The following is a 26,471-nucleotide window of genomic DNA, read 5'->3' as shown; positions in this document are numbered from 1 at the left end:
TGAGATGAAGTCTCACTCTTGTCCCCCAGGCTGGAATGCAATGGTGTGATCCCGGCTCACTGCAACCTCTGCCTCTCGGGTTCAAGCGATTCTCCTGCCTCAGGCTCCCAAGTAACTGGGATTACAGGTGCCTGCCACCATGCCCAGCTAATTTTTGTATTTTTTTTAGTAGAGATGGGGTTTCACCAGGTTAGACAGGCTGGTCTTAAATTCCTGACCTCAGGTGATCCATCTGCCTCGGCCTCCCAAAGTGCTGAGATTACAGGCATGAGCCACTGCACCTGACCGTCCTTTGCTCACTTTTTTAATGGGGTTGTTTGTTTTTTGGCTTGTTAATTTGTTTAAGTTCCTTATGGATTCTCGATATTAGACCTTTGTTGGATGCATAGTTTGCAAATATTTTTTCCCAGTCTGTAGGTTGTCTTTTTATTCTGTTGATAGTTTCTTTTACTGTGCAGAAGCTCTTTACTTTAATTAGGTCCCGTTTGTCAATTTTCTGTTTCAATTTAATTATATTTATTTGTTTGTTTTTTGAAAATAGAGACAAGATCTTGCTATGCTGCCCAGGCTAGTCCAGTGGGACTGAAAAACTTTTTTTTTTTTTTTTTTTTTTTTGAGACAGAATCTCGCTGTGTCGCCCAGTCTGGAATGTAGTGGTGTGATCTTGGCTCACTGCAACCTCCCCCTCCCAGGTTCAAGCGATACTTGTGCCTCCGCCTCCCAAGTATCTGGGACTACATGTGTGTGCCCCCATGCCCGGCTAATTTTGTATTTTTTTGTAGAGACGGGGTTTGGCCATGGTGGCCCGGCGGGTCTTGAACTCCTGGTCTCAAGTGATCCCCCAGACTAGGCCTCCAAAAGTTCTGGGATTACAGGCGTGAGCCACTGCTCCTGGTGGATACTGATTTCTGTATACTGATTTTGTATCCTAAAACTTTGCTGAAGTTCTTTTTCAGATCTAGGAGCTTTGGGACAGAGCCTTTGGGGTTTTTTAGGTATAGAATCACATTGTCTACAACAGAGATAGTCTGACTTCCTAATTGAGGTTCCCAAACCTCAATTCTTGACTTCTGTGCACCCATAGGCTCAACACCACATGGACGCTGCCAACTCTTAGAGCTTCCACCCTCTGAAGGAACAGCCTGAGCTGTACCTTGGCCCCTTTTAGTCATGGCTGGAGTGTCTGGGATGCAGGGCAACAAGTCCCTAGACTGCACACAGCACAGGAACTCTGGGCCCAGCCCACAGAACCACTTTTTCCTCCTAGGCCTCTGGACCTGTGATGGGAGGGGCTGCCATGAATACCTCTGACATTCCCTGAAGACATTTTCCCCATTGTCTTGGGGATTAACATTCAGCTCCTCATTACTTATGCAAATTTCTGCATCTGGATTGAGTTTCTCCTCAGAAAATGAGATTTTCTTTTCTGTTGCATTGTCAGGTTGCAATTTTCCAGTCTTTTATGCTCTGCTTCCTTTATAAACCTGAATGCCTTTAACAGCACCCAAGTCACCACGCGAATGCTTTCATGCTAGGAAATTTCTTCCACCAGATACCCTAAGTCATCTCTGTCAAATTCAAAGTTCCACAAATCTCTAGGGCAGGGGTAAAATGCTGCCAGTCTCCTTGCTAAAACATAACAAGAGTCACCTTTGCTCCAGTTCCCAGCAAGTTCCGCGTTTCCATCTGAGACCACCTCAGCCTGGACTTTATTGTCCATAATACTATCAGCATTTTGGTCAAAGCCATTCAACAAGTCTCTAGGGAGTGCCAAACTTTCCCACATTTTCCTGTCTTCTTCTGAGCCCTCCAAACTGTTCCAATCTCTGCCTGTTACCCAGTTCCAAAGTAGCTTCCACATTTTTGGGTATCTACAGCAGTGCCCTGCTCTACTAGTACCAATTTAATGTATGAGTCCATTTTCACGCTGCTGATAAAGACATACCTGACACTGGGAAGAAAAAGAGGTTTAATGAACTTACAGTTCCACATGGGTGAGGAGGCCTCACAGTCTTGGCAGAAGGCAAGGAGGAGCAAGGCACGTCTCACATGGATGGCAGCATGCAAAAAAGAGAGGGCTTGTGCAGGGAAACTCTGGTTTTTAAAACCGTCAGACCTAATGAGACTCATTCACTATCAGGAGAACAGTGCAGGAAAGCCCTGACCCATAATTCAATCACCTCCCACCAGGTTCCTCCCATGATATGTGGGAATTATGGGAGTTACAATTCAAGATGAGATTTGGGTGGGGACACAGCCAAAGCATATCACTGCTGTCAAGCAAAGCTGAGAGATTTAATTGGTAAAGAAACAACAAGCCCTTTTTAGATTCAGGCAGTTTAATACTGATAGCAATACTAAGATTGGCAAAGATGCCAGCGCCCTGTGTCCATTTTCCTACCAGACAACACCAAAACAAAAGAGGTCAGGTGATAATGCAACATGGGTGATGGGAGCTCTGTTTCTGCAGAGCCAATTTCACACTAAGCAGTTTGATGGGATGCTGGGGGGTGGGGGCGGGGACAGGTGTAGCCTCTTTGCCTAATTGTCCCCTAGCACTGCCCAGTCATTGCATAGGCTGCTGGAACCATGAAGATTTGAACTTTGGAGCATCTCTTTGACCACCCATGAGAAACTCTTACAATAGCTGCAATGCAGTAATACCCAAACCCTATCAACTTGAGTGTGGTTGGAGTTGATGTGTTAGACAGACATATAGATCCCTCTGAAAAGTTGCACAGCCACAGACTTAGCACAGACTGGGGACTACCTTCCATTGTGAAGTCTCTTATTGGTGCAAGAAACAAAACATTTGTGTAAGAACATTCAGTAGTTGATCCTGTAGAGAAAACAATGGAACAGGAATCTACCAACATTTCATTTACAAACATATTTTAAGTAGGTGAGAGGCTTATATACAAGTCACATCCTCAGGACACAGAAAAAATCCTATTTTGACTCAGGAAGCCATAATCACTGTGAAAGGAGTCAGCCTCGGCAATTACTTTGCAGGACTGATGGCAAGTATGTTATCTCCAAATGCTAATAAAGGGCAAGAAACAGAGGAATGCAGGCCAGGCATGGTGACACACTCCTGTAATCCCAGCACCTTGGGAGGCCGAGGCAGGAGGATCACCTGAGATCAGGAGTTCGAGACCAGCCTGGCCAACATGGAGAAACCCTGTCTCTACTAAAAATACAAAATTAACTGGGCGTGGTGGCGCATGCCTGTAATCCCAGCTACTCGGGAGGCTGAGGCAGGAGAATCACTTGAACCCGGGAGGCAGAGGTTGTGGTGGGCTGAGACCACGCCATTGCACTCCAGCCTGGGCAACAAGAGCGAAACTCCATCTAAAAAAAAAAAAAAAAAAAAAAAACCAAACATGGGTTTACATAACTTTCCACTCCTTTTTCATCCTGATCACTTATCCAGGTAGCAGCCTAGAAAAGATCAATCTCTTTCTGGGGACAGCTGCATTTAATCACTAAATTAAGGTGCCTTGTTAAGTTGTGTGTGTCAGAGGCATTTGAACCAGACCAACTCCATCTTGAATAGGGGCTGGTAAAATAAGGCTGAGACCCACTGGGCTGCATTCTCAGACGGTTAACGCATTCTAAGTCACAGGATGACATAGGAGGTCAGCACAAGATATAGCTCATAAAGACCTTGCTGATAAAACAGGCTGCAGTAAAGACGCCGGCTAAAACCCACCAAAACCAAGATGTGAGCGTGACCTCTGGTTGTCCTCACTGCTACACTCTCAGCAGCGCCATGACAGTTTACAAAAGCTATGGCAACATCAGGAAGTTAACCTATATGGTCTAAAAAGGGGAGGCATGAATAATACACCCCTTGTTTAGCATACCATCAAAAAACAACCATAAAAATAGACAACCAGCAGCCCTTGGGGCTGCTCTGTCTATGGAATAGCCATTCTTTTATTCCTTTACTTTCTTAACAAACTTGCTTTCTCTTTACACTACGGACTCTCCCTGAACTCTTTCTTGCGCGAGATCCAACAACCCTCTCTTGGGGTCTGGATCGGGACCCCTTTCCTGTAACATGTATACCAGGAGAAAGGAAGTAGAGTCAAGGTATCAGTTCACTGTTGCAAACTGCATCTAATACCAAAAGCCAAACGCAAGAAGTTAGCAGCAGTAAGATGGCCCTGAGACAGGGTCCAGAGTCTGATCTCTCAGTACTGGGTGAAAGGGTCACACTTGCTGAGATGTGCCCTCCCACAGTGTGCAGCTTTAGCAGGAATCACTACTTAGAAATGCAAACAGTCTCTGTAACAGAAACAAAGAGCCAATGAGCAGATCAATTTCAGATGGTCCCATCAGAAATAAGCCCCTTTCTGTAGGCAATTGTGACCCAGCTGGTCCAGCCAGCATCCATGATGTTTTCACAGCTTTGTCTTTCGAGTCAAATCTGCAACTGTCCCAGAGCCTGAGTTTTGTTTTTTAAGCAGAGCAACTTTGTCAAATTTGGTTTGTCTTAGCTAGCTAATAGGCAAGCCAGCCCAGAAAACTTGTCAGTTACAAACTTTCTCTGAAAACAAAACAAAACTGGATGAGGTCTCTATCTTCTTTTATGTCCTTGGGAGCTTGACCTTGTAACCACGTGGTGGTACTTTCTTTTTTTTATTTTTTGAGACGGAGTCTTGCCCTGTCACCCAGGCTGGAGTGCAATGGCATGATCTCGGCTGACTGCAACCTCCACCTCCTGGTTTCAAGCTATTCTCCTGCCTCAGCCTCCCCAGTAGCTGGGACTACAGGCGTGTGCCACCACGTCCAGCTAATTTTTGTATTTTTAGTAGAAACAGGGTTTCGCCATGCTGGCCAGGCTGGTCTCGAACTCCTGACCTCAAATGATCTGCCCATCTCGGCCTCCCAAAGTGCTGCAGTTATAGGCGTGAGCCATCACACCCAGCCACCACGTGGTGGTACTTTCTTTTGGTCTCTGCCATTTTACAATAGAGGGCTGGGTTCAATCCCGGTTTAGGAAGTGAGTACTTTCTGGTTGATACCTGTGTGACCTTCACCATTTGTTGATTCTCTTCCCCTGCATGAACAATGTCTGGCTTCCCTCCTTAACCTTCTTAAATTTTCCTTTCTGGCTGGGTGCGGTGGCTCATGCCCGTAATCCCAGCACTTTGGGAGGCTGGTTTCCAACTCCTGACCTCAGGTGATCCACCCACCTCGGCCTCCCAAAGTGCTGGGATTATATACAGGTGTGTGAGCCACAACTTCCGGCCTCATTCTTTTTTTTTTTTTTTTTTTTTTTTTTTTTTTTTTTTTGAGACAGAGTCTTGCTCTGTCACCCAGGCTGGAGTGCAGTGGCATGATCTCAGCTCACTGCAACCTCCGCTTCCCGGGTTCCAGCGATTCTCCTGCCTCAGCCTCCCGAGTAGCTGGGACTACAGGCGCCCACCACCACGCCCGGCTAATTTTTGTATTTTTAGTAAAGATGGGGTTTCACTGTGTTAGCCAGGATGGTCTCAATCTCCTGACCTCGTGATCCGCCCACCTTGGCCTCCCAAGTGCTGGGATTACAGATGTGAGCCACCACACCCAGCCCCAGCCTCATTCTTTGATCTATTTGATTTTAGGTGGTTTGGTTTATGGGGACCCTGGGTAAGGAACATACTCCAAACTGTTGGTATTATCCTCCTGATAGTGATGATAATAGTCTCCCTGGTGCACTGTATTCTCCCAAAGGTTTTAAATGTTTACATGCAGCCATCTCTAGAATGTCAAATGGTCTCTGTTCAACTGGAATGACAAGAGCTGAAAGAAATGTGCAACCATGAGGACACAGTAACCTATAAATGACACACTGAGGCCAGAAACCCAAAATGGTGGTAACGGAAAATGGCGCTAAGGCCCTAAGTTCTGGTCACACTGTCAGCTAAGTGAGAACCTGACCAGAAAGGGATAATTTTTTTAAACAAAATTATGGAAGGCCATTGTTTTGAACTGAGCTCATGCGCTAGGCCCCAACAGACCAAACCAAACAAAAATGGAGTTGCTTGGCCGGGCGCAGTGGCTCATGCCTGTAATCCCAGCACTTTGGGAGGCCGAGGTGGGCGGATCACCTGAGGTCAGGAGTTCGAGACCAGCCTCAACATGGAGAAACCCCGTCTCTACTAAAAATACAAAAAAAAATTAGCTGGGTGTGGTAGGTAGTGCATGCCTGTAATCCCAGCTACTCAGGAGGCTGAGGCAGGAGAATTGCTTGAACCTGGGAGGTGGAGGTTGCGGTGAGCTGAGATCGTGCCATTGCACTCCAGCCTGGGCAACAAGAGTGAAACTCAGTCTCAAAAAAAAAAAAAAAAAAGCAAAAAAAAAATGTAGTTGCTTCTGTTAAATGTGACATAATCAAATGAAGACTTTAAGGAAACTCATAGATCCTAGAACAGACCACGTTTTGTTTTTCTCCTGTAAACATGACGTTCCCAGTATAAGAAGGTACCCTCTACTGAGTCCTTGTTCCCACCTTGCAAAGCCCACAGTGTTCTGTTTCCCAGTGAGTTTCAATATCAAATAAGTACATTTATGACGGTGATAGTGACATCAATGACTCAAGTTTTGGTCAATCTCTAAAAATTGAGAAAATGACCAAAAGAGGGTGATTGTTAAAGCGAACTAAGGATGGCCTGAGAAGGACTCTGTACTTCTGTATTTGAGTCCTTTTGGTCAAGCTGCAACCTAACTAAATAGGTACACAAGATTGAAAACTAAATTAGGAGTATTTGCCTGTAACAAGAGCTGAGTCTTGGCCCATCCCAGCAGCCATACTTCAACCACTCATACACTGCGGAGTGTTCAAACTGTTCAAATAAGGCAAACGCGGAGCTGTAACGAATCCACTTAAGGACCTCACCTCTGATTTCTATAGTCACTTCTCTTTTTTGTCTGTAAATTTGTTCTGACCATGAGGCATCCCTGGAGTCTCTCTGAATATCTGCTGTGATTCTGGGGGCTACCTGATTCATGAATCATTCATTGCTCAATTAAATTATTATTATTATTACTTTTTTTTTTTTTTGAGACAGAGTCTCGCTCTGTCGCCCAGGCTGGAGTGCAGTGGCACGATCTCGGCTCACTGCAAGCTCCGCCTCCCGGGTTCACGCCATTCTCCTGCCTCAGCCTCCCGAGTAGCTGGAACTAGGGGTGCCCGCCACCACGCCCAGCTAATTTTTTGTATTTTTAGTAGAGATGGGGTTTCACCATGTTAGCCAGGATGGTGTCGATTTCCTGACCTTGTGATCCTCCTGCCTTGGCCTCCGAAAGTGCTGGAATTACAGGCGTGAGCCACCACGCCCAGCCGCTCAATTAAATTATTTTAAATTTAATTCAGTTGAAGTTTTTCTATTAACAAGCCCATACTATAAAGTATCAAGTTTCAGCTTAGAATCAGGTCCAGGAAATTAGGATCAGGATTCCGAAAAGCCCTGTTGCTTTTTCTTCGCAGAAGCAAAGCCAAAATGCTGCAAGGCCTCATGGCCATATTCCAGGTGCAACTGACAAGCCTTTTTTTTTTTCTTTTTTTTAAGACTGAGTCTCGCTTTGTTGCCCAGGCTGCAGTGCAGTGGCACAATCTCGGCCCACTGCAGCCTCCATTTCCTGGGTTCAAGCGATTCTCCTGCCTCAGCCTGCAGAGTAGTTCGGACTACAGGCGTGCACCACCGCATCCAGCTAATTTTTGTATATTTAGTAGAGATTAATTTTCGCCATGTTGGCCAGGCTGGTCTTGAACTCCTGACCTCAGGTGATCCGCCCGCCTCTCCCTCCCAAAGTGCTGGGATTATAGGCATAAGCCACCATGCCCGGCCTAAGGAAGGCTTTATTAAGCCTTTTTTATCTCGTCAGTATTTAGGCCCAAAGTGACCCACTCAGAAATATGCACATCTGGCTGGAAATCATTAGCTTTTATGGGTCAGACATCTGATTTTACAAGAGCTCATTAGCAACTAAAATCAGTTTTTTAAAACTCTAAAAGTATATTTCCATATGGAGAGTACCTCCTTTTTAATGTTATTTCCTTTTTTCCAGAGGCTCCAATAGGCAAGACATACAGCAAAAATAATCAGTTATGGAGATTTGTTTTTTTTGTTTTTGAGACAGGGTCTCTGTCATCCAAGCTGGAGTGCAGTGGCGTGATCTTGGCTCACTGCAACCTCCGCCCCACTCCCCTGGGCTCAAGCAGTCCTCCCACCAAAGCCTCCTAAGTAACTGGGACAACAGGAGCGTGCCAACACACCTGGCTAGTTTTTTGTATTTTTAGTAGGGATAGGGTTTCACCATTTGCCCAGGCTGGTCTTGAACTCCTGTACTCAAGCATTCCACCTGCCTCAGCCTCCCAAAGTACTGGGATTGCAGGCATAAGCCACAACGTCTGGCCCTGTTTCTTCCATTTATTTCTTTTCTTCTTCTTTTTTTTTTTTTTTTTTTTTTTGGAGACGGAGCTTTGCTCTGTCGCCCAGGCTGGAGTGCAGTGGCGTGATCTCGGCTCACTGCAACCTCTGCTTCCCGGGTTCAAGCAATTCTCTGCCTCAGCCTCCCGAGTAGCTGGGATTACAGACACCCACCACCTCACCCGGCTAATTTTTTGTATTTTTAGTAGAGGTGGGGTTTCACCATCTTGGCCAGGCTGATCTTGAACTCCTGACCTCGTGATCCATCCACCTCGACCTCCCAAAGTACTGGGATTACAGGCGTGAACCACCGCGCCCAGCCTTCTTCCTTTTTTTCATACAATTTTTTTCTGGCCACACATTAATGAGAATACTTTTTGTTTGTTTTGTTTTGTTTTTTGAGATGGAGTCTCGCTCTGTCACCTAGGCTGGAGTGTGGTGGTACAATCTTGGCTCACTGCAACCTCTGCTTCCCGGGTTCAGGCGATTCTCCTGCCTCAGCCTCCTGAGTAGCTGGGATTATAGGCATGCGCCACCATCCCTGGCTAATTTTTGTAATTTTTAGTAGAGATGGGGTTTCCCCATGTTGGTCAGGCTGGTCTCGAACTCCTGACCTCGTGATCCGCCCGCCTCTGCCTCCCAAAGTGCTGGTATTACAGGCATGAGCCACTGAGCCCGGCCAAGAATACTTCGTTTTTTGTTTGTTTGTTTTTTCAGAGTAGGAGTCTTGCTTGCCCGGGCTGGAGTGCAGTGGCGTGATCTCAGTTCACTGAAACCTCTGCCTCCTGAGTTTAAGCAATTCTCCTGCCTCAGCCTCCTGAGTAGTGGGGATTTCAGGCGCGTTCCACTGTGCCCAGCTAATTTTTGTACTTTTAGTAAAGACAGAGTTTCACCATGTTGGCCAGGCTGGTCTCAAACTCCTGACCTTGTGATCCACCCGCCTTGGCCTCCCAAAGTGCTGGGATTACAGGCGTGAGCCACCACATCCGGCCAAGAATACTTGGTTTTTAATACTCAGAGAATTTAAATACGAACCCACCCACCAATGGCAAGAAGCAATTATTTATGTATCCCACTAACACTTTTTCTTTGCAGCTGTCCCTGATTGGGATGGTTCCCATAGCATTCATAAAATTACAAGTGTATAACACTTTTTTTTTTTTTTTTTTTTTTTTTTTTGCAGCTTCATGGTTGGTTTTGGCCAAACTTTTTATTTAGTATTCTGTAGTGGTTTAACACACACTTAAACGGTCTTATTGGGGGAGGGGAAAGGGGAGGTTCTTGCAGATTCCCAAGGAAATGTCAGAAAGGCAAAATGGCCAGCATTATCCATTTGCTTTTTGGGGTTTACTGGGTGAATAGCACTTTCCTTACATAGGCATGTGATTTCAGGTTTTTCATACTGAGAACATTGAGATTTCAGTTGGAAGACACCCTGAAATCTTATGAGTAGCATACCCCAACCACCCTCTAATAGCTAGCTTGTTTGTATAGGTAGAATGATTCATCTCTCCATTTTAGATGGCTAGATGTTTTGTGGAAGATCTTAGAATTGCCTGCCTCATTTACTGGGAAAAATCAGATAGGAAGTGGCCTTTAGGGATACTTTTACTTGGAAAGTTACAACACTAGTACAAGTTTTTTTTTTATTTTAGTAGAGACTGAGTTTCACCGTGTTAGCCAGGATGGTCTCAATCTCCTGACCTCGTGATCTGCCCGCCTCGGCCTCCCAAAGTGCTGGGACTACAGGCATGAGCCACCGCGCCGGCCTTTCCTTTTATTTATTTATTTAATGATACAAAGTTTCGCTCTTGTTGCCCAGGCTAGAGTGCAATGGTGCAATTTCGGCTCACTACAACCTCTACCTCGCAGGTTCAAGGGATTCTCCTGCCTCAGCCTCCCAAGTAGCTGGGATTACAGGAGCCCACCACCACACCTGGCTAATTTTTGTATTTTTAGTAGAGACGGGGTTTCTCCATGTTGGCCAGTCTGGTCTCGAACTCCTGACCTCAGGTGATCCACCCACCTCGGCCTTCCAAAGTTCTGGGATTACAGGCACAAGCCACTGTGCCCGGCCGTGTATTACCATCTTATATGTGTAAAGGACAGGCGTGAGCCACTGCCCTGGCTGCAAATTGATATACTTCTAAATAATAGTCTAATTTTGAATATATTGAAGTACAGTACGCTTTTTACAAATATAAAGAATCGGGCCAGATGCAGTGGCTCATGCCTATAATCCCAGCACTTTGGGAGGTTGAGGCAGGAGGACCACATGAGGTCAGGAGTTTGAGACCAGCCTGGCCAACATGGCGAAATCCTATCTCTACTAAAAATACAAAATTAGCCAGGCGTGGTGGCGTATGCCTGTAATCCCAGCTACTCAGGAGGCTGAAGGAGGAGAATTGCTTGAACCTGGGAGGCAAAGCTTGCAGTGAGCCCAGATTGAGCCACTGCACTCCAGCCTAGGAGACAGAGCAAGACTCCGTCTCAAGAAAACCCCCAAAAACCCAAAAATGGATAAAAAGATTAAGGCAATTCTTTTAGTAGTGCAAACATGATTGTCAGTGATGAATGGCACCTTGGGAGGTAACCTTGGAGGAGGAGGAGGTATTGATGGGACCACCTGCCCGAGAGTTGAGGAAAGCAGTGTGGAGGGTGACCATGGTAGCCAAAGAGAAGCGGAGGAAGGCGAAGGTGTTTCCAAGGCAGGAGAGCACTGTGGTCTTGAAGCATTCATTCCCTGGTAAAAGTGGTTGAGGAGACAGCTTTGAGCTGGTGATAGCCAGATGTGTCATCACTGACTTAGCTGGCCAGAAGGACAGGGAAAGAGAACTTGCTGACAGTGGGACTGACTGAGCGAGCAGTGTCAGGGGGACACAAACTATTAGAGATTCTTGATCACATTGAGTCAGTCGAGAAAACCTTCAAAACATTTACACTTCAGACAAATAGAGAATCTCGGAAGTCTCTCTGAACCTATTCTGGTTTGAGGGGCTGACCAGTTTTAAAAAGAGAATCTGGCCGGTTGTGGTGGCTCACGCCTGTAATCCCAGCACTTTGGGAGGCTGAGGCAGGCGGATTGCCTGAGGAGTTTGAGACCAGTCTGGCCGCGACGGCGAAACCCCATCTCCATTAAATATATAAAAAAATTAGCTAGGTGTGGTGGTGTGCACCTGTAATCCCAGCTACTTGGGAGGCTGAAGCAGGGGAATTGCTTGAACCAGGGAGGTGGAGGTTGCAGTGAGCCGAGATCGCGCCACTGCACTCCAGCCTGGGCAACAGATCGAGACTCTGTCTCAAAAAAAAAAAAATAAAGAAAGAAAAGAAAAGAAAGAAACCCCATCTCTACTAAAAATATTTTTTAAAGTAGCTAGGTGTGGTGGCAGTTGCCTGTAATCCCAGCTACTTGGGAGGCTGAAGCAGGGGAATTGCTTGAACCACGGAGGTGGAGGTTGCAGTGAGCCGAGATCGCACCACTGCACTCCAGCCTGGGCAACAGATCCAGACTCTGTCTCAAAAAAAAAAAAAAAAGAAAAGAAAAGAAAAGAAAAGAAAGAAACCCAATCTCTACTAAAAATATTTTTAAAAGTAGCCAGATGTGGTGGCAGGTGCCTGTAATCCCAGCTACTTGGGAGGCTGAGGCAGGAGAATTGCTTGATCCGGGGAGACAGAGGTTGCAGTGAGCCAAGATCGTGCCATTGCACTCCAGCCTGGGCAACAAGAGCAAAACTCCATCTCAAAAAATAAAAATAAAAATAAAAAAGAGAGAATCTGTGACATACGACAGAGAAGATGGAAAATTATTCAGCAAAAGAAACATTATACAAGGCAATTACCACTATCCAGAAAAATATCATAAAGGTTATAAGCAAGTCTCTGATACTCGAGTGGAAACAGAGAAAGACACACACACACACACTAGATGCACTCCAGCAAGAGCCCAATGTGTTCACCCTCAGTTGCTGCAAGTTAAAGTCGTCCCTCCTGCACCATCTCCAAACACACTGCGCTCTACCCCTGCAACATGCTACCTGGTGGAACATTGTCACAGTGGCCTCGGCCTCGATCTCCCTCAAGGATAAGGGGATCACATTAGATTTTTTAAAACAAAAAGGCAGAGAGAGATTTGACTCCAGAAGAGGAAGTAGGAGATGTGATGATGAAAGCAAGAGATTGAAACAATGTGAGGAAGGTGTCATGACCCAAGGAATGAGGAGAGCCTCTAGAAACTGGAAAAGGCAAGGAAACCGATCCTCCCCCAGAGCCTCTGGAGGGAGTGCAGTCCTGCCAACACCTTGATTTCAGCCCAGTGAAACTCATTTTGGACTTCTTTCAGAACTGCAAGACAATAAATTTATGTCATTTTAAGTCACTAAATTTGTAATAGTGGCAATAAGAAAGTAATACACCCAGAGGCCGGACACTGTGGCTCACACCTATAATCCCAGCACTTTGGGAGGCCGAGGTGGGCAGATCACGAGGTCAAGAGATCGAGATCATCCTGTACAACATGGTGAAACCCCATCTCTACTAAAAATACAAAAATTAGCTGGGCGTTGTGGTGCGTGCCTGTAGTACCAGCTGCTCGGGAGGCTGAGGCAGGAGAATGGCTTGAACCTGGGAGACAGAGGTTGCAGTGAGCCGAGATCGTGCCACTGCACTCCAGCCTGGGCGACAGAACAAGTATCCGTCTCAAAAATAATAATAATAATAACAATAATAATAATATGTCCAGTTTACTTCTTTCTTGGATATACCATTTCCATTAAATAATGGATGCTCGCTGAGCATTACCTTCTTTGTTGATGTTTTCATTTTTGATCCATCCAAGAATGGACATGTCAGAATATAACAATACCTGCTGATGCTTTCTTTGTTAGTGTCTAAGTGTCCAAAAGCACTCACTAACAAGCCAACAATTGCTGCTTAAATGGAGTATACCAGGCAGCGGTGTCAGGCAAATGCTGTGCCCAAAACCCTAAATGGCACTTACTGCCTATTGCCACAGGCTCCAATCAGTGTAACTGTCAGTCACCATCACTTGTAGCTGAAAAGGCTCATTAGAACTGTTCCAAATGAGAGGTCAGTCTGAATAGCCTGCTGGATAGTTTCCTTAAGCACTCCTCTTTCTTCTAGCTACTTCATCAGTATAGTAGTATTATCCCCTCTCCTCCCTTCCTTCTGGCATCCTGTACTGTTTTACTATTATGAAGGTAAGCTCTTAATCATGTATTCATCCCACGATCACTGTTTTAATTATGGCATTTCCCCACTGGGAACATTCCTTACAATCAAAAGAAGTGTTATACATACTTAACACTTCTGTTCTTACAATATATTCAGCAGTATCAGTTACAACCATTTGGGTATGTGAACTGTTCACTAAATAAAACATCATACAGTAAGTTTCAAGGGCCACAATGGTATGGCCTCTTCTACCACAGACAAATAGATTAATTTTGGCAGGCGTTGGAAATCTGGTAGGTCATGGTAGCTTCATCAGAAACATGCAGTCCTTTCCTTCGTTAGAGGCATCAGTTCTTAGACTGCTGGAGGGCTTCAGTGTAGTAAATCTATATACATAGTCCCCAATTTTTTTTTTTTTTTTTTTTGAGATGGAGTCTCGCTCTGTTGCCCAGGCTCTCTTCAGGGAGTGCAAGGCAGTGCAGAGGACACCAGCAGTGGGGTTGACTGGAGCAGAGTGGACGTTTCTTTCCTTAAAGGAACAGAGGTCAGGGTAAGAGAGAGGAAGAGATCGGGGGTGTGACAGGAGCAGTTCCACACCAATAAGCACAGTTTTGGACTTACTTTCAGATTTAAGTTGCCTTCTGCTCAGCATCTACAAACTTTTTTTCTTCTTTTCTTTTGAGACAGAGTTTTGCTCTTGTCACGCAGGCTGGAGTGCAGTGGCGTGACCTCGTCTCACTGCAACCTCCGCCTCCCAGGTTCAAGGAATTCTCATACCTCAGCCTCCCGAGTAGCTGGGATTACAGTCGCCCACCACCACGCCTGGCTAACTTTTTGTATTTTTAGTAGAGACGGGGTTTCTCCATGTTGGGCAGGCTGGTCTCGAAATCCTGATCTCAGGAGATCCACTCACCTCGGCCTCCCAAAGTGTATGGCGCCCAGCCAAGCATCTACAAACTTTTACAACTAAGACACCATTCAGGCAGCTGCTTCAATCCTACCACTGTAAATCTCTTGCTGTTTGAGTTTTGTTGTTTTTGTTTTTGTTTTGTTTTTATGAGACAGTGTATTGCTCTGTCGTGTATCGCTCTGTTGCCCAGGCTAGAGTGCAGTCGTGCGATTTCGACTCACTGCAACCTCAACCTCCTGGGCTCACGCAATCCTCCCACCTCAGCCTTCCAAGTAGCTGAGACCACAGATGTGTGCCACTACACCCAGCTAATTTTTTAAAAAATCTTTTGTAGGCCGGATGCGGTGGCTCATACCTGTAATTCCAGCATTTTGGGAGGCGGAGGCAGGCGGATCACCTGAGGTTGAGAGTTCGAGACCAGCCTGACCAACATGGAGAAACCCCATCTCTACTAAAAATACAAAATTAGCTGGGCATGGTGGTGCATGTCTGTAATCGCAGCTACTCGGGAGCCTGAGGCAGGAGAATCACTTGAACCTGGGAGGCAGAGGTTGCAGTGAGCCGAGATCGCGCCATTGCACTCCAGCCTGGGCAACAAGAGCAAAACTCCATCTCAAAAAAAAAAAAATATATAGACATAGGGTTTTGCCATGTTGCTCAGGCTTGCGTCAAACTCCTGAGCTCAACAGATCTGCCCGCCTCAGCCTCCCAAAGTGCTAGGATTACAGGCTTGAGCCACCAAGCCCAGCCTCCAAATCTCTAAATATTCACTGATGGGTAGCATGTACTATCAGACCCAGGGAAATCTTTTCCATTTCATCTAACCCAGCCCACACTGTCTAGTAACAACTAGGACACTGGGAGGAAACTGAATCCTCCCAATTCACTGCTTAGGCAAGAACATGCACTACAAGATCCCAGGGAGTCTTATCACAGCCCTTAACCTGGCCCACATCCCTCTTTCTTCCAAAAAGGCTTCGTGACCTTACCAGGCTCAGGTTGGATGCCAAATTTGTCAAGGCTAACAGAGTTGTCCTAGGCTATTGGGGAACCAGCACGGAACAGTTCCTCTACAACTACAAAAACAAATTTTAATTTTTAATTGGATTTAAACATTGCTTTTAGGCCAGGCATGGAGGTTCATGCCTATAATTCCAGATCTTTGGGAGGTCAAGGCAAGAGGATTGCTTGCACCCAGGAGCTCAACACCAACCTGGGCAGCATAGTGAGACCCAATCTCTACAAAAATTAAAAAATGGGCCAGGCGCGGTGGCTCAAGCCTGTAATCCCAGCACTTTGGGAGGCCAAGGTGGGCAGATAATGAGGTCAGGAGTTTGAGACCAGCATGGCCAATATGATGAAACCCAGTCTCTACTAAAAATACAAAAAATTAGCCGGGCGTGGCGGCAGGCACCTGTAATCCCAGCTACTCAGGAGGCTGAGGCAGGAGAATTGCTTGAACCCGGGAGGCGGAGGTTGCAGTGAGCCGAGACCACGCCACTGCACTACAGCCTGGGCAAAAGAGCGAGACTCCGTCTCAGGAAAAAAAAAAAAAAAAAGAGGGCCGGGCATGGTGGCTCATGCCTGTAATCCCAGCACTTTGGGAGGCCGAGACGGGTAGGTCGCTTAAGGCCAGGAGTTTGAGACCAGCCTGCCCAACATGGCAAAACCCTGTCTCTACTAAAAATACAAAAATTAGTCAGGTGTCGTGGCACATGCCTGTGGTCCCAGCTACTTGGGAGGCAAAGGCACAAGAATCGCTTGAACCTGAGAGGTGAAGGTTGCAGTGAGCCCAGATTGCGCCACTGCCCTCTGTCCTGGGTGGGAGAGAGAGAGAGAGAGACTCTGTCTCAAAAAAAAAAAAAAAAAAAAAAGTTAATTTAAAATTAAAAAAAAAAAAAAAAAAAAGCCAGGCATAGTGGCATGCACTGGTAATCCCAGCTACTGGGAAGACTGGGGTGGGAGAATCACCTGAGCCTGGGATGTTGAGGCTGCAGTGAGGTGTGATTGCACCACTGCCCTCTAGCCTGGGCAACAGAGACCTTGATTCTAAAAAAATAAAAATAAAGAAATTAACATTGCTTTAAGTGTGACAGAACCACCAACTATGTACAAAGTGTCCTGGATTATGTTCAGAGCAGCACTCACCTGCAGCTGCTTCTTCAGTCCTCTTCCAGGGCAGCCCATAGTGCTTCATCAAACATCCTTTAGCCTCTTCCACATGAATGCAGAACACTCCAACTATTCAACAACTTTCAGGTCACAGACCATCATGTCAGCCATCTGTGGAGTGAGGGGATTGTATTTGTCCTTGATTAAGCTTCTCAGTAGTACAGGGTTACACTTCTGAGATCAATTGTGGTTCCAAGAAACAATGAGTCGGTGAATTATCTCAGGTACCCACTTTTCACATTTTCAAATGAGGATAGAAGACCACTAGAAGATAAACTATAAGGCCAGGGGTGGTGACTCACGCCTTTAATCCCAGCACTTTGGGAGGCCGAGGTGGGCAGATCACTTGAGGTAGGGAGTTTGAGACCAGTCTGACCAACATGGAGAAACCTGGTCTGTACTAAAAATAGAAAATAATCCGGGAGTGGTAGCACATGCCTGTAATCCCAGCTACTTGGGAGTCTGAGGCAGAAGAATCACTTGAACCCAGGAGGCAGAGGTTGCAGAGAGCCGAGGTTGCAGTGAGCCGAGATCGCACCATTGCACTCCAGCCTGGGCAATAAGAGCAAAACTCCATCTCAAAAAAAAAAGAAGATAAACTATAAATATTAATACATCTAGCTGGGCACGGTGGCTCACACCTGTAATCCCAACACTTTGGGAGGCTGAGGCGGGCAGATCGCCTGAGGTCAGGAGTTCGAGACCATCCTGGCCAGCATGGTGAAACCCCGTCTCTACTAAAAATACAAAAATTAGCTGGGCGTGGTGGCAAACGGCTGTAATCCCAGCTACTTGGGAGGCTGAGGCAGGAGAATCGCTTCAACCCAGGAGGCGGAGGTTGCAGTGAGCCGAGGTCGCGTGCCATTGCACTCCAGCCTAGGCAACAGAGTGAATTCCGTCTCAAAAAAAAAAAAAAAAAAAATTAATACATCCGATTGTGGATAGCTGTGGGGGTCATTCTGTTATAATCTTTTTGCCCTGCAGGACTGAAAAGTGCAAGATTATATGGCTCAACAATAACCGTGACTGCACAGTTTTCAAAAAATCACTGGTATATCTGTCAGGGCAAACTGTTGGTAATGAAAAATAAGAAAAAGGGGCCAGGTGCAGTGGCTCATGCCTGTAATCCCAGCACTTTGGGAGGCTGAGGTGGGCAGATCACCTGAGATCAGGAGTTCGAGACCAGACTGGCCAACATGCTGAAACTCCATCTCTACTAAAAATACAAAATTAGCCGGCCGTGGTGGCAGGCACCTGTAATCCCAGCTACTCGGGAGGCTGGGGCAGGAAATTGCTTGAACCCGGGAGGCGGAGGTTGCAGTGAGCCAAGATCGTGCCATTGCACTCCAGCCTAGGCGACAAGAGCTAAACTCCATCTCAAAAAAAAAAAAACAAAAGAAAAAAATAATCACTCGTACATATTCAGACAATTTGTTTGTTGTATAGGATATCAAGACATATATTACCAACAGCTTCATTATTCACAATTGTCTGCATTGCTGAAATATTTTTGAATCCACTTTAAATATTCCAAATTTGATTTTGACTCAGCATTTCCAGTCGGCTTTAAAGACCAAAGTATTTTTATCAGCTTGAGGGGTGCTGGCAGGAAAGGGAGTGAAAGAGTGTTTAGGCCCTCATAGGTGGTTGAGGAGGTGGTTCAAATTGACTAGATGGTGGTAGTGGGTAAGATCGCCAGGAAATACTGGAACCCAGGGTCCCCAGGTTTTCAGGTTTTTGGGTATACGACGTGGAAATACTGTAACCCAGGGCCCTGGGTTTTCAGGTTTTTGGGTATACAACATGAAAAAATACCCACTTGAGACCCTTGAGTGTTGTTTCAAAAAGTTCCAGGAAGAAGCTGAGCCTCAGCAAAACAAAAACCAGCTGGATCCAGAGATGCCTGAGATGGATACAAAATGTGGCTAAGTCTTATTACCATACTAAAAACCCTCGCCCAGGTGTTATAGAACCTAACTGGGGTCCACTCACCTGCCTGACACAGTGAGGTTGTGCAGCAGTAGAAAGGAAGGCATGTATTTATTTTTTGTTATTTTTGGAGACAGAGTCTTGCTCTGTTGCCCAGGCTGGAGTGCAGTGGTGTGATCTCGGCTCACTTCAACCTCCGCCTCCTGGGTTCAAGTGATTTTCCTGCCTCAGCCTCCGGAGTAGCTGGGACTAGAGTTGCCAGCCACCACACCCAGCTAATTTTTGTATTTTTAGTAGAGATGGGGTTTTGCCATGTTGGCCAGGCTGGTCATGAACTCCTGGCCTCAAGTGATCCGACCACTTTGGCCTCCCAAAGTGCTGGGATTACAGGTATGAGCCACTGCACCTGAACTTGTTATTTTTCAAATGTTTTGTTTTGAGACAGGGTCTCATTCTGTTTCCCAGGCTGGAGTGCAGTGGCACGATGATGGCTCATGTAGCCTCAACCTCTTGGGCTCAAGCAATCCCCCTGCCTCAGCCTCCCAAGTAGCTGGGACTACAGAAGTGCACCATCATGCCCAGCTAATTTTTTAATTTTTTGTAGAGACAGGGTTTCGGCATTTTGCCCCTGATCTCGAACTCCTGGGATGGAGCAATCCTCCCGCCTTGCCCTCCCAAAGTGCTGGGATGAGAGGTGTGAGCCATCATGCACAGCTGAAGGCATCTATTTGCAAAGATGCAAAGCAAGGAGGATCAGGCAGCTCATGCCCAAATTCTGACCTCCCTGATGCCTTGCAGTTTTCTTTTTCTGTTCTTTTTTTTTTTTAAGGCTGGGGTAAATTTCAGGAAAGCCAAAGTTACAGGCAAAATTGTAAATCAATAGATGGAGGTTACACTTTGGTTCTGGCCTAAAAAGGCAGGATATCTTGAAATAAGGGCTTATAGTCATAGGTAGATTCAAAGATTTTTCTCATTTGCAATGGGTTAAGAGAAGCTTCGTTTAAATTTTGGGGACAGCAGAAGAGAATATTAGCTCAGGATTGTAGATGTGATCCCTCCAAGCCCCTGAGAAAGAAATTTTCAACAAAGAACAGTGGTCAGACTTCAGTCTTCAGTTCCCCCTTCTCTGAGGTCTAGGTGCCAGCAGATCCATTCAGTAGGGGTCCAGGTTTCTGAAAAACAATTGAAAGACCTATGTTAAAATGTTATCTTCCATTTCTACACAAAACCAAATACCCCATGATTTTAACTTCCTTGGCTATCATTTTAAGCTACTATTAACTTTTTATTAAGTTACTTATTTACTCTCAGGGCTAGCTATGTGCTGGTAATTTCTCTTGAAAGAACTCAAGACTTTTTTTTATTTCTATGCTTAGATACTCAGCAAGCCTTTAAGAGGGGGTCCCTGCCCTGTCTCATAGGGAGGAGCTTCTTTTTCGCCATTTTCTTTCTCTCTCTATTTTTTTTCAATATCGGCTGGGTCTCCCTATGTTGCCTAGGCTGGTCTTGGGCTCCTGGCCTCTAGCGACCCTCCCTCATCAGCCTCCCAAAGTGCTGGGATTACAGGTGTGAGCCACTGCGTCCCGTCCCTCTTTTCCTCCCCTCCCCTTCCCTCTCCTTTCCTTTCCCTTCTTTCTTTCTCTCTCTCTCTCTTTCTTTTTTTTTTTCTTTTCTGAGGTGCAGTTTCGCTCTTGTTGCCAAGGCTGGAGTGCAATGGCGCAGTCTCGGCTCACAGCAACTTCCGCCTCCCGGGTTGAAGCGATTCTCCTGCCTCAGCCTCCCGAGTAGCTGTGATTACAGGCATGCGCCACTATGCCCGGCTACTTTTGTATTTTTAGTGGAGACAGGGTTTCTCCCCATGTTGGTCAGTTTGGTCTCGAACTCCCGACCTCAGGTGATCCGCCTGCCTCAGCCTTCCAAAGTGCTGGGATTACAGGCATGAGCCACTGCGCCCGGCCTTATTTGCTATTTTCTATGCATGCGAGGTATGTAGAAACATGATAGAAAACTGCACCAGCACGGCTTTTGCTCCACCTCTACATACGACTAATAAAAGCACTGTTTTCACCTTTGTTCAGGGAGGCACCGCTTTAAGAATTACCCCCAGTGTTTCCTTACTTGTTGCAAGTAATAACATCCCCTTGTCAAATCCTTGGTTGTGGTCACGGTACTGTCACCCACCAAGTAAGCAAACTCACCCACTGGGTGGGGAATAGTCCTGCAAGAAAAAGTCTTGGCAGGAGGGACAAAGGTCAGCCAGAGGGTCACTCCACCATCCTCACAGTCTCAACAAGAATAGGGAACACAAGAGAAAACTGCCCTACTGGCCCTTGCTTTCCCTATCTGCGGCCTCCGGAATCCGGTGTGGAAGAAGTGTTCAGAAACTGTGCTGAGGCCCTTCCCTATTCCCCCACGCCATCCACCTTACCCCAGTGGCAACTTTCTGGCCGGACAGGTCAGGAGCCCAGCTAAAAAGGTGAGTGGGCCATCAGCCTATACAGGCAACGAGAGTGTCAACCGCCAGATTACTACTGCCAGTTACGAAAAAACGGTCCTCTGGAAGCGACGTTCTCTGTGCGCCACGTAACACGCTGCAGGAAAGGTACACTGGGGGGTATCACGTGACCGTCAACCGCTGGGGCGAGCAGGCGCCTAGAACCCAGCGATCGTCCATGGCCAGGGAGCTTCCAGTCACGTTCCTCTCTCTAATACCATCCTCCGCGCCTCACCTAAGCAAGCGCCACCTTCTCGCAGCTTCCTGCCCCCTAAAGCCTCGGAAGTCCTGGCCCTCCCAAGGTGGGGAAACGGAGGAACGGACGTGAAGGGAGCTGTGGGACGCGCGACCGTGGAGCTGGACTGCACCGAGTCCCAGCGCGCATCCGGGCTCCGGGAGTCCCACCGAGCCGTGACGTCAGAGGCGGGGCCGAGCACTGGGCGACCTCTGAGCTCGGGGCTTCGCGGGTCCGGCGGCCTCTTGTTTCGCCTTCTTGCTCTTGGGCCATCTTCCCTAAGTGGGAAGACCTAGGTTTTGCCAATCGGTTACCCGAGACCTTGGAGCAACGGCCGCGTTTGTTTGCAAAACTCTCCTCATTGTGTGGCACCCGCCCTGCGCAGGTGGAGCCTTTAAATGGGAACACCTGGACGAGGCTCTGATGGGAAACGGGGGCTGGAAGTTTGTCAGGAGCACGGAGACAGGTCGCCCTTCGGCCTGAATTTGGCGTAACTAGGACTGTGGGTACCTCCTGGCCCCAGACTGTTTACCAAAGCAAGCTTGCTGCAAGCTGTTGTAGATAAGCTTTAACCTCCGCTGGTCCTAGGTGCTCTGAAGACCTTCGGCTTTTTATTTTATTTTATTTTTTGAGATAGAATTTCGCTGTCGCCCAGGCTGGAGTGCAGTGGCGCCATCTCGGCTTACTGCAACCGCAGCCTCCTGGGTTCAAGTGATTCTCGTGCCTCAGCCTCCTGAGTAGCTGGGATTATAGGCATGTGCCACCACGCCCAGCTAATTTTTGCATTTTTTGGTAGAGACGGGGTTTCCCTATGTCCAGGTTGGTCCCGAACTCCTGGCCTCAAGTGATCCGCCCGCCTCGGCCTCTCAAAGTGTTGGGATTACAGACGTGAGCCACCGCACCCAACCTGGAAACACTTCCTGGAAACACTTTTTTTTTTGAGAAGGAGTCTTGCTCAATCGCCCAGGCTGGAGTGCAGCGGCGCTCCAGCGGGGCGATCTTGGCTCATTGCAACCTCTGCCTCCCAGGTTCAAGCATTTCCCCTGTCTCAGCCTCCCGAGTAGCTGGGACTACAGGCGCCTGCCACCACGCTCGGCTAATTTTTGTATTTTTAGTAGAGACGGTGCGTCACCTTGTTGGTCAGGCTGGTCTCGAACTCCTGACCTCAGGTGATCTACCTACCTCGGCCTCCCAACGTGCTGGGATTACAGCCGTGAGCCAGCGCGCCCGGCCTTCAAAACACTTCTTTATAAACAATTTGCAGTGTTGCAGCCTGGTCATCCGGGGCTTTGACCTAACATTTTTTATACTAAAATGTTAGGTAACTCCATATGCTCATTAATGGATTTGGTCTGAGACTAATTGCATAGTTTTTATTTAAAATTATGTTACACTTTGATTCGTGTGTGTCCTGTTTTAATACTGCAATACTCTTGATTTCAGCTTCTTTAATAATTAAATATCTCAGTGGTGTGTGATCCCAGGGAAGTATTCTTGGCACAGTTTTGACATGTTTACTTGGTTGGAAGGACATTGTGGGAATATAATGAAGCCGAAAACATGGGAATATTGCGAGTCAAAAATATGGTTTTCCCTGTATTTCAATATCCACAAAACTGAAACATGCCCTACATGTGTCCTTGAGTATATTACTAATAAGGTATACAATATAAGGCTTCCATCTCAGAAGTTAAAGTGGTGTAGAATTGCCAACATTTATACAGAATTTAGTATTTGTCCAGCACTGTTCTAAGTGCTCCACAGGTTTTAGCACCTATTACCCTCAGTGAAGTTATTACCCAGTGAATAGTCCCATATTACAGATAAACTAACTGCCTCACTATGAGATTGAGTGATTTGCTCAATCACTATGAGATTGAGTAATTTGCTCAAAGTCACACAGAGCCAGTATCAGCTTCTCTCTCTATTTTTTTTTTTTTTTAAATAGGCGGGGTGGCTATGTTGCCCAAGCTGGTCTCCAAGTCCTAGGCTCAGATCCTTTGGCCTCAGCCTCCCTGGAGTAGCTGGGGACTAGGGCACACGCCACCACACTGGGCAGGATCTGCTTTTTAAAGTAGTCTTCTGTACTCTTAGTGCAAAGGAGAACTGGACTGGAAGTCTGGAGGCCTATACTTCAGACCTAGCTCTACTATTTACCCAGTTGTTTGACTTATTTTTTTATTTTTTTTATTTTTTTTGAGACGGAGTTTCGCTCTTATTGTCCAGGCTGGAGTGCAATGACGCAACCTCGGCTCACTGCAACCTCTGCCTCCTGGGTTCAAGCAATTCTCCTGCCTCAGCCTCCCAAGTAGCTGGGATTACAGGCATGCACCACCACACCCTGCTACTTTTTGGTATTTTTAGTAGAGATGGGGTTTCATCGTGTTGGCCAGTCTGGTCTCAAACTCCTGACCTCACGTGATCCACCCGCCTCGGCCTCCCAAAGTGCTGGGATTACAGGCGTGAGCCACCGAGCCTAGCCTCAGTTGACTCTTGAATGACATGGGTTTGAATTGCATGGGTCGACTTATACACTGCTTTTTTTCAACCAAATGCAGATTGAACATACAGTATTCACGGGATGTGAAACCCTGTATGGGGAGGGCCCAATTTTCCTATACTCTTATTCCTCAGGGCCAGCTGCAGGACTTGGGTATGCTTGGATTTTGCTATACTTGGGGGTCCTGTAATGGTTATAAGACCAATAACCAATCGTCTGTGTATACTGAGAGACAACTGTACTATAGAGCTGTGTCTCAAGTTTCTTCACCTGAAAAATAAGGATTCTACATCAGTGCTGTTGACTTCCCTGAAGAGTTATGAATATCAATACATTGATTTTTAAAAGTAGAAGCATTTGGTTGGGCGCGGTGGTTCACGCCTGTAATCCTAGCACTTTGGGAGGCTGGGGTGGGTGGATTACCTGAGGTTGGAAGTTCAAGACCAGCCTGACCAACATGGTGAAACCCTGTCTTTACTAAAAATACGAAAAATTAGCCAGGTGCAGTGGCGCACGCCTGTAATCCTAGCTACTTGGGAGGCCAAGGAAGGAGAATCGCTTGAACCCGGGAGGCAGAGGTTGCATTAAACCAAGATCACGCCATTGCACTCCAGCCTGGGCTACAGAGTAAGACTTCATCTCAAAAAACAAAAAACAAAACAAAAACAACAACAAAAAAGTAGAAGCATTTTTAAAGCAGTAAAACACTGTATGAAACAGATGTTATATTGCAATTATTTCACAGTCTTGGCTATTGAAGTAAGCCAATTAGGCAATTTACTAAATTATGACCCAGATGACTATATTTATGTCCCTGAAGTAGAATTACCTTTAAATTTCAATTGTAATTAACATTTTTTTGCCAGATGAAATAATTCATTCAGTTCTGATAATAAACCACATTTGCACAATAGCTGTATCCTTTTAAAGACAATTATGTAGATGATTACCTTTGAAATCACCTCAGAGACACTAATTACTAGTAAAAAATGAGTTTCTCAATTGCTCATAATAGTAACAATATAGCAAATTATAGAGTCAAATTTTGATGTTTTAAACTCCAGTGGACTCTGGAAAATATAGACATAGAATGACAGTAATCACTGATTTTTTTTTTTTTTTTTTTTTTTTGAGACAGAGTCGTGCTCTGTCACCAGGCTGGAGTGCAGTGGCACGATCTCGGCTCACTGCAACCTCTGTCTCTCTGGTTCAAGCGATTTTCCTGCCTCAGCCTCCCAAGTAGCTGAGATACAGGCACACGCTACCATGCCCGGCTAAATTTTGTATTTTTAATAGAGACGGGGGTTTCACCATGTTGGCCCGGGATGGTCTTGATCTCTTGACCTCGTGATTCACCCGCCTCAGCCTCCCAAAGTGCTGAGATTGCAGGCGTGAACCACTGTGCCCAGCCTTATCATTGATTTTGAAAAATGATTCTATATTGACAATAATTTTGCCTTTTTATGAGCCAATAAATTCTTATTGTTTATGACTGTTTACATTTAGTTACATTACTTGCATCAGACAAGTGCTAGTAGTTATACTGAACTATGCTATGGCCACAGACTCTCCTCCTGCTTACCTTGGATTTCTAAATACCAACCCCAGCTGACATGGAATAGGGCTTTGTATCTGGCGGATGCTCATTAACCGTTGTTAGCCAACTCTGAAAGTTGTCTTCTTAGCATGCAAATACTTGTAAAAATTTTACAGAAGGGTGACAAATTCTAACAGTCTACCTTCAGTTGATTTTCTTATTTTTTTTTTTTCAGACAGAGTCTTGCTCTGTCGCCCAGGCTGGAGTGCAGTGGCTCACTGCAACCTCCGCCTCCCGGGTTCAAGCGATTCTCCTGCCTCAGCCTCCCAAGTAGCTGGTGCCTGCCACCATGCCCAGATAATTTTTTGTATTTTTAGTAGAGATGGGATGTCACCAAGTTGGCCAGGCTGGTCTTGAACCCCTGACCTCAAGTGATCCACCTGCTTTGGCCTCCCAAAGTGCTGGAATTACAGGTTTGAGCCACTGTACCCAGCCCAGTTGAAATATTTTAATCTCCCTTGATTCTCTGGAGAAGAAATGACCTGTATATTTTCTCTTTCGCTTTATTTTTGGAGGCTGGCTGTTGGGTTTCTGAACACGCTCTGTACTTCTTGTGGTCTCCTAATGAATTTTAAGTAGTTATTACCATGATAGTTTACATTAATTTGGGCTGACTCACTATCTGTGTGTGCCTGTTTGCTTCATATTTCATCGTCAGCAAAAAACTGGTGCAAATGCATGGTGGGGGCACATGATATAAAACATCAGTCTCTAACTTGTATTATGGCTTTAATTTTCTCTGTGTCTTCACTTTATGATCAAAAGCAGAGTGGATTTTCTGCTTGCTTTTTATTGGAATGTTGGGAGTGATTAAGGAACTAAGACATATTTTGAAAAAATCAGCCTTTGATGTGATGTGATACTTACATGAATTAATATTGTGCATTTATATAATTAAAGGACCTATGCATTTAACTTATGCCTTCAAGAATCACTGTTGCAATTCAACACATCATCATATATAATATATAATACATAATATTATTATAATATATAATATTATATATAATATATAATATTATAT

At 45.9% G+C, this 26,471-nt stretch overlaps 1 protein-coding gene, 1 long non-coding RNA gene and 1 pseudogene across 2 annotated transcripts in view, besides 3 other annotated features; 1 reads left to right on the top strand and 2 right to left on the bottom strand.

Moving 5' to 3' along the window:
* KDM4C (lysine demethylase 4C) overlaps positions 1–16,803 on the bottom strand; it is a 454,786-nt gene extending 437,983 nt beyond the window's left edge. The window contains exon 1 of the mRNA NM_001146696.2: positions 16,669–16,803. Coding sequence (NP_001140168.1) covers positions 16,669–16,717 — 49 coding nt within the window. The 5' untranslated portion in view covers positions 16,718–16,803. The remainder of the gene's footprint in view (positions 1–16,668) is intronic.
* Positions 2,590–3,098, top strand: PRELID3BP11 (PRELI domain containing 3B pseudogene 11; annotated as a pseudogene).
* Positions 13,925–14,044: an enhancer, noted in NCBI's record as "active region_28203". NCBI's record gives its function as "activates an Ori minimal core promoter by ATAC-STARR-seq in GM12878 lymphoblastoid cells {active_cell/tissue: GM12878}" and the evidence as "EXISTENCE:reporter gene assay evidence [ECO:0000049][PMID:35858748]".
* Positions 14,145–14,294: an enhancer, noted in NCBI's record as "active region_28202". NCBI's record gives its function as "activates an Ori minimal core promoter by ATAC-STARR-seq in GM12878 lymphoblastoid cells {active_cell/tissue: GM12878}" and the evidence as "EXISTENCE:reporter gene assay evidence [ECO:0000049][PMID:35858748]".
* Positions 16,804–17,201: 398 nt separating the features above from the next.
* LOC124902117 (uncharacterized) lies at positions 17,202–21,484 on the bottom strand. The gene is made up of 4 exons (XR_007061412.1): positions 21,050–21,484; positions 18,685–19,793; positions 18,512–18,595; positions 17,202–17,244 (listed from the first exon to the last, which is right to left on the bottom strand). It is a non-coding gene; the product is annotated as an uncharacterized LOC124902117 (long non-coding RNA).
* Positions 21,154–21,373: an enhancer, noted in NCBI's record as "active region_28201". NCBI's record gives its function as "activates an Ori minimal core promoter by ATAC-STARR-seq in GM12878 lymphoblastoid cells {active_cell/tissue: GM12878}" and the evidence as "EXISTENCE:reporter gene assay evidence [ECO:0000049][PMID:35858748]".
* Positions 21,485–26,471: the final 4,987 nt, after the last annotated feature.

The sequence above is a fragment of the Homo sapiens genome, chromosome 9 (genome assembly GCF_000001405.40).
Source record: "Homo sapiens chromosome 9, GRCh38.p14 Primary Assembly".
Classification (NCBI taxonomy): Eukaryota; Metazoa; Chordata; class Mammalia; order Primates; family Hominidae; genus Homo; species Homo sapiens.
This window is presented reverse-complemented; position numbering and strand designations above follow the sequence as displayed.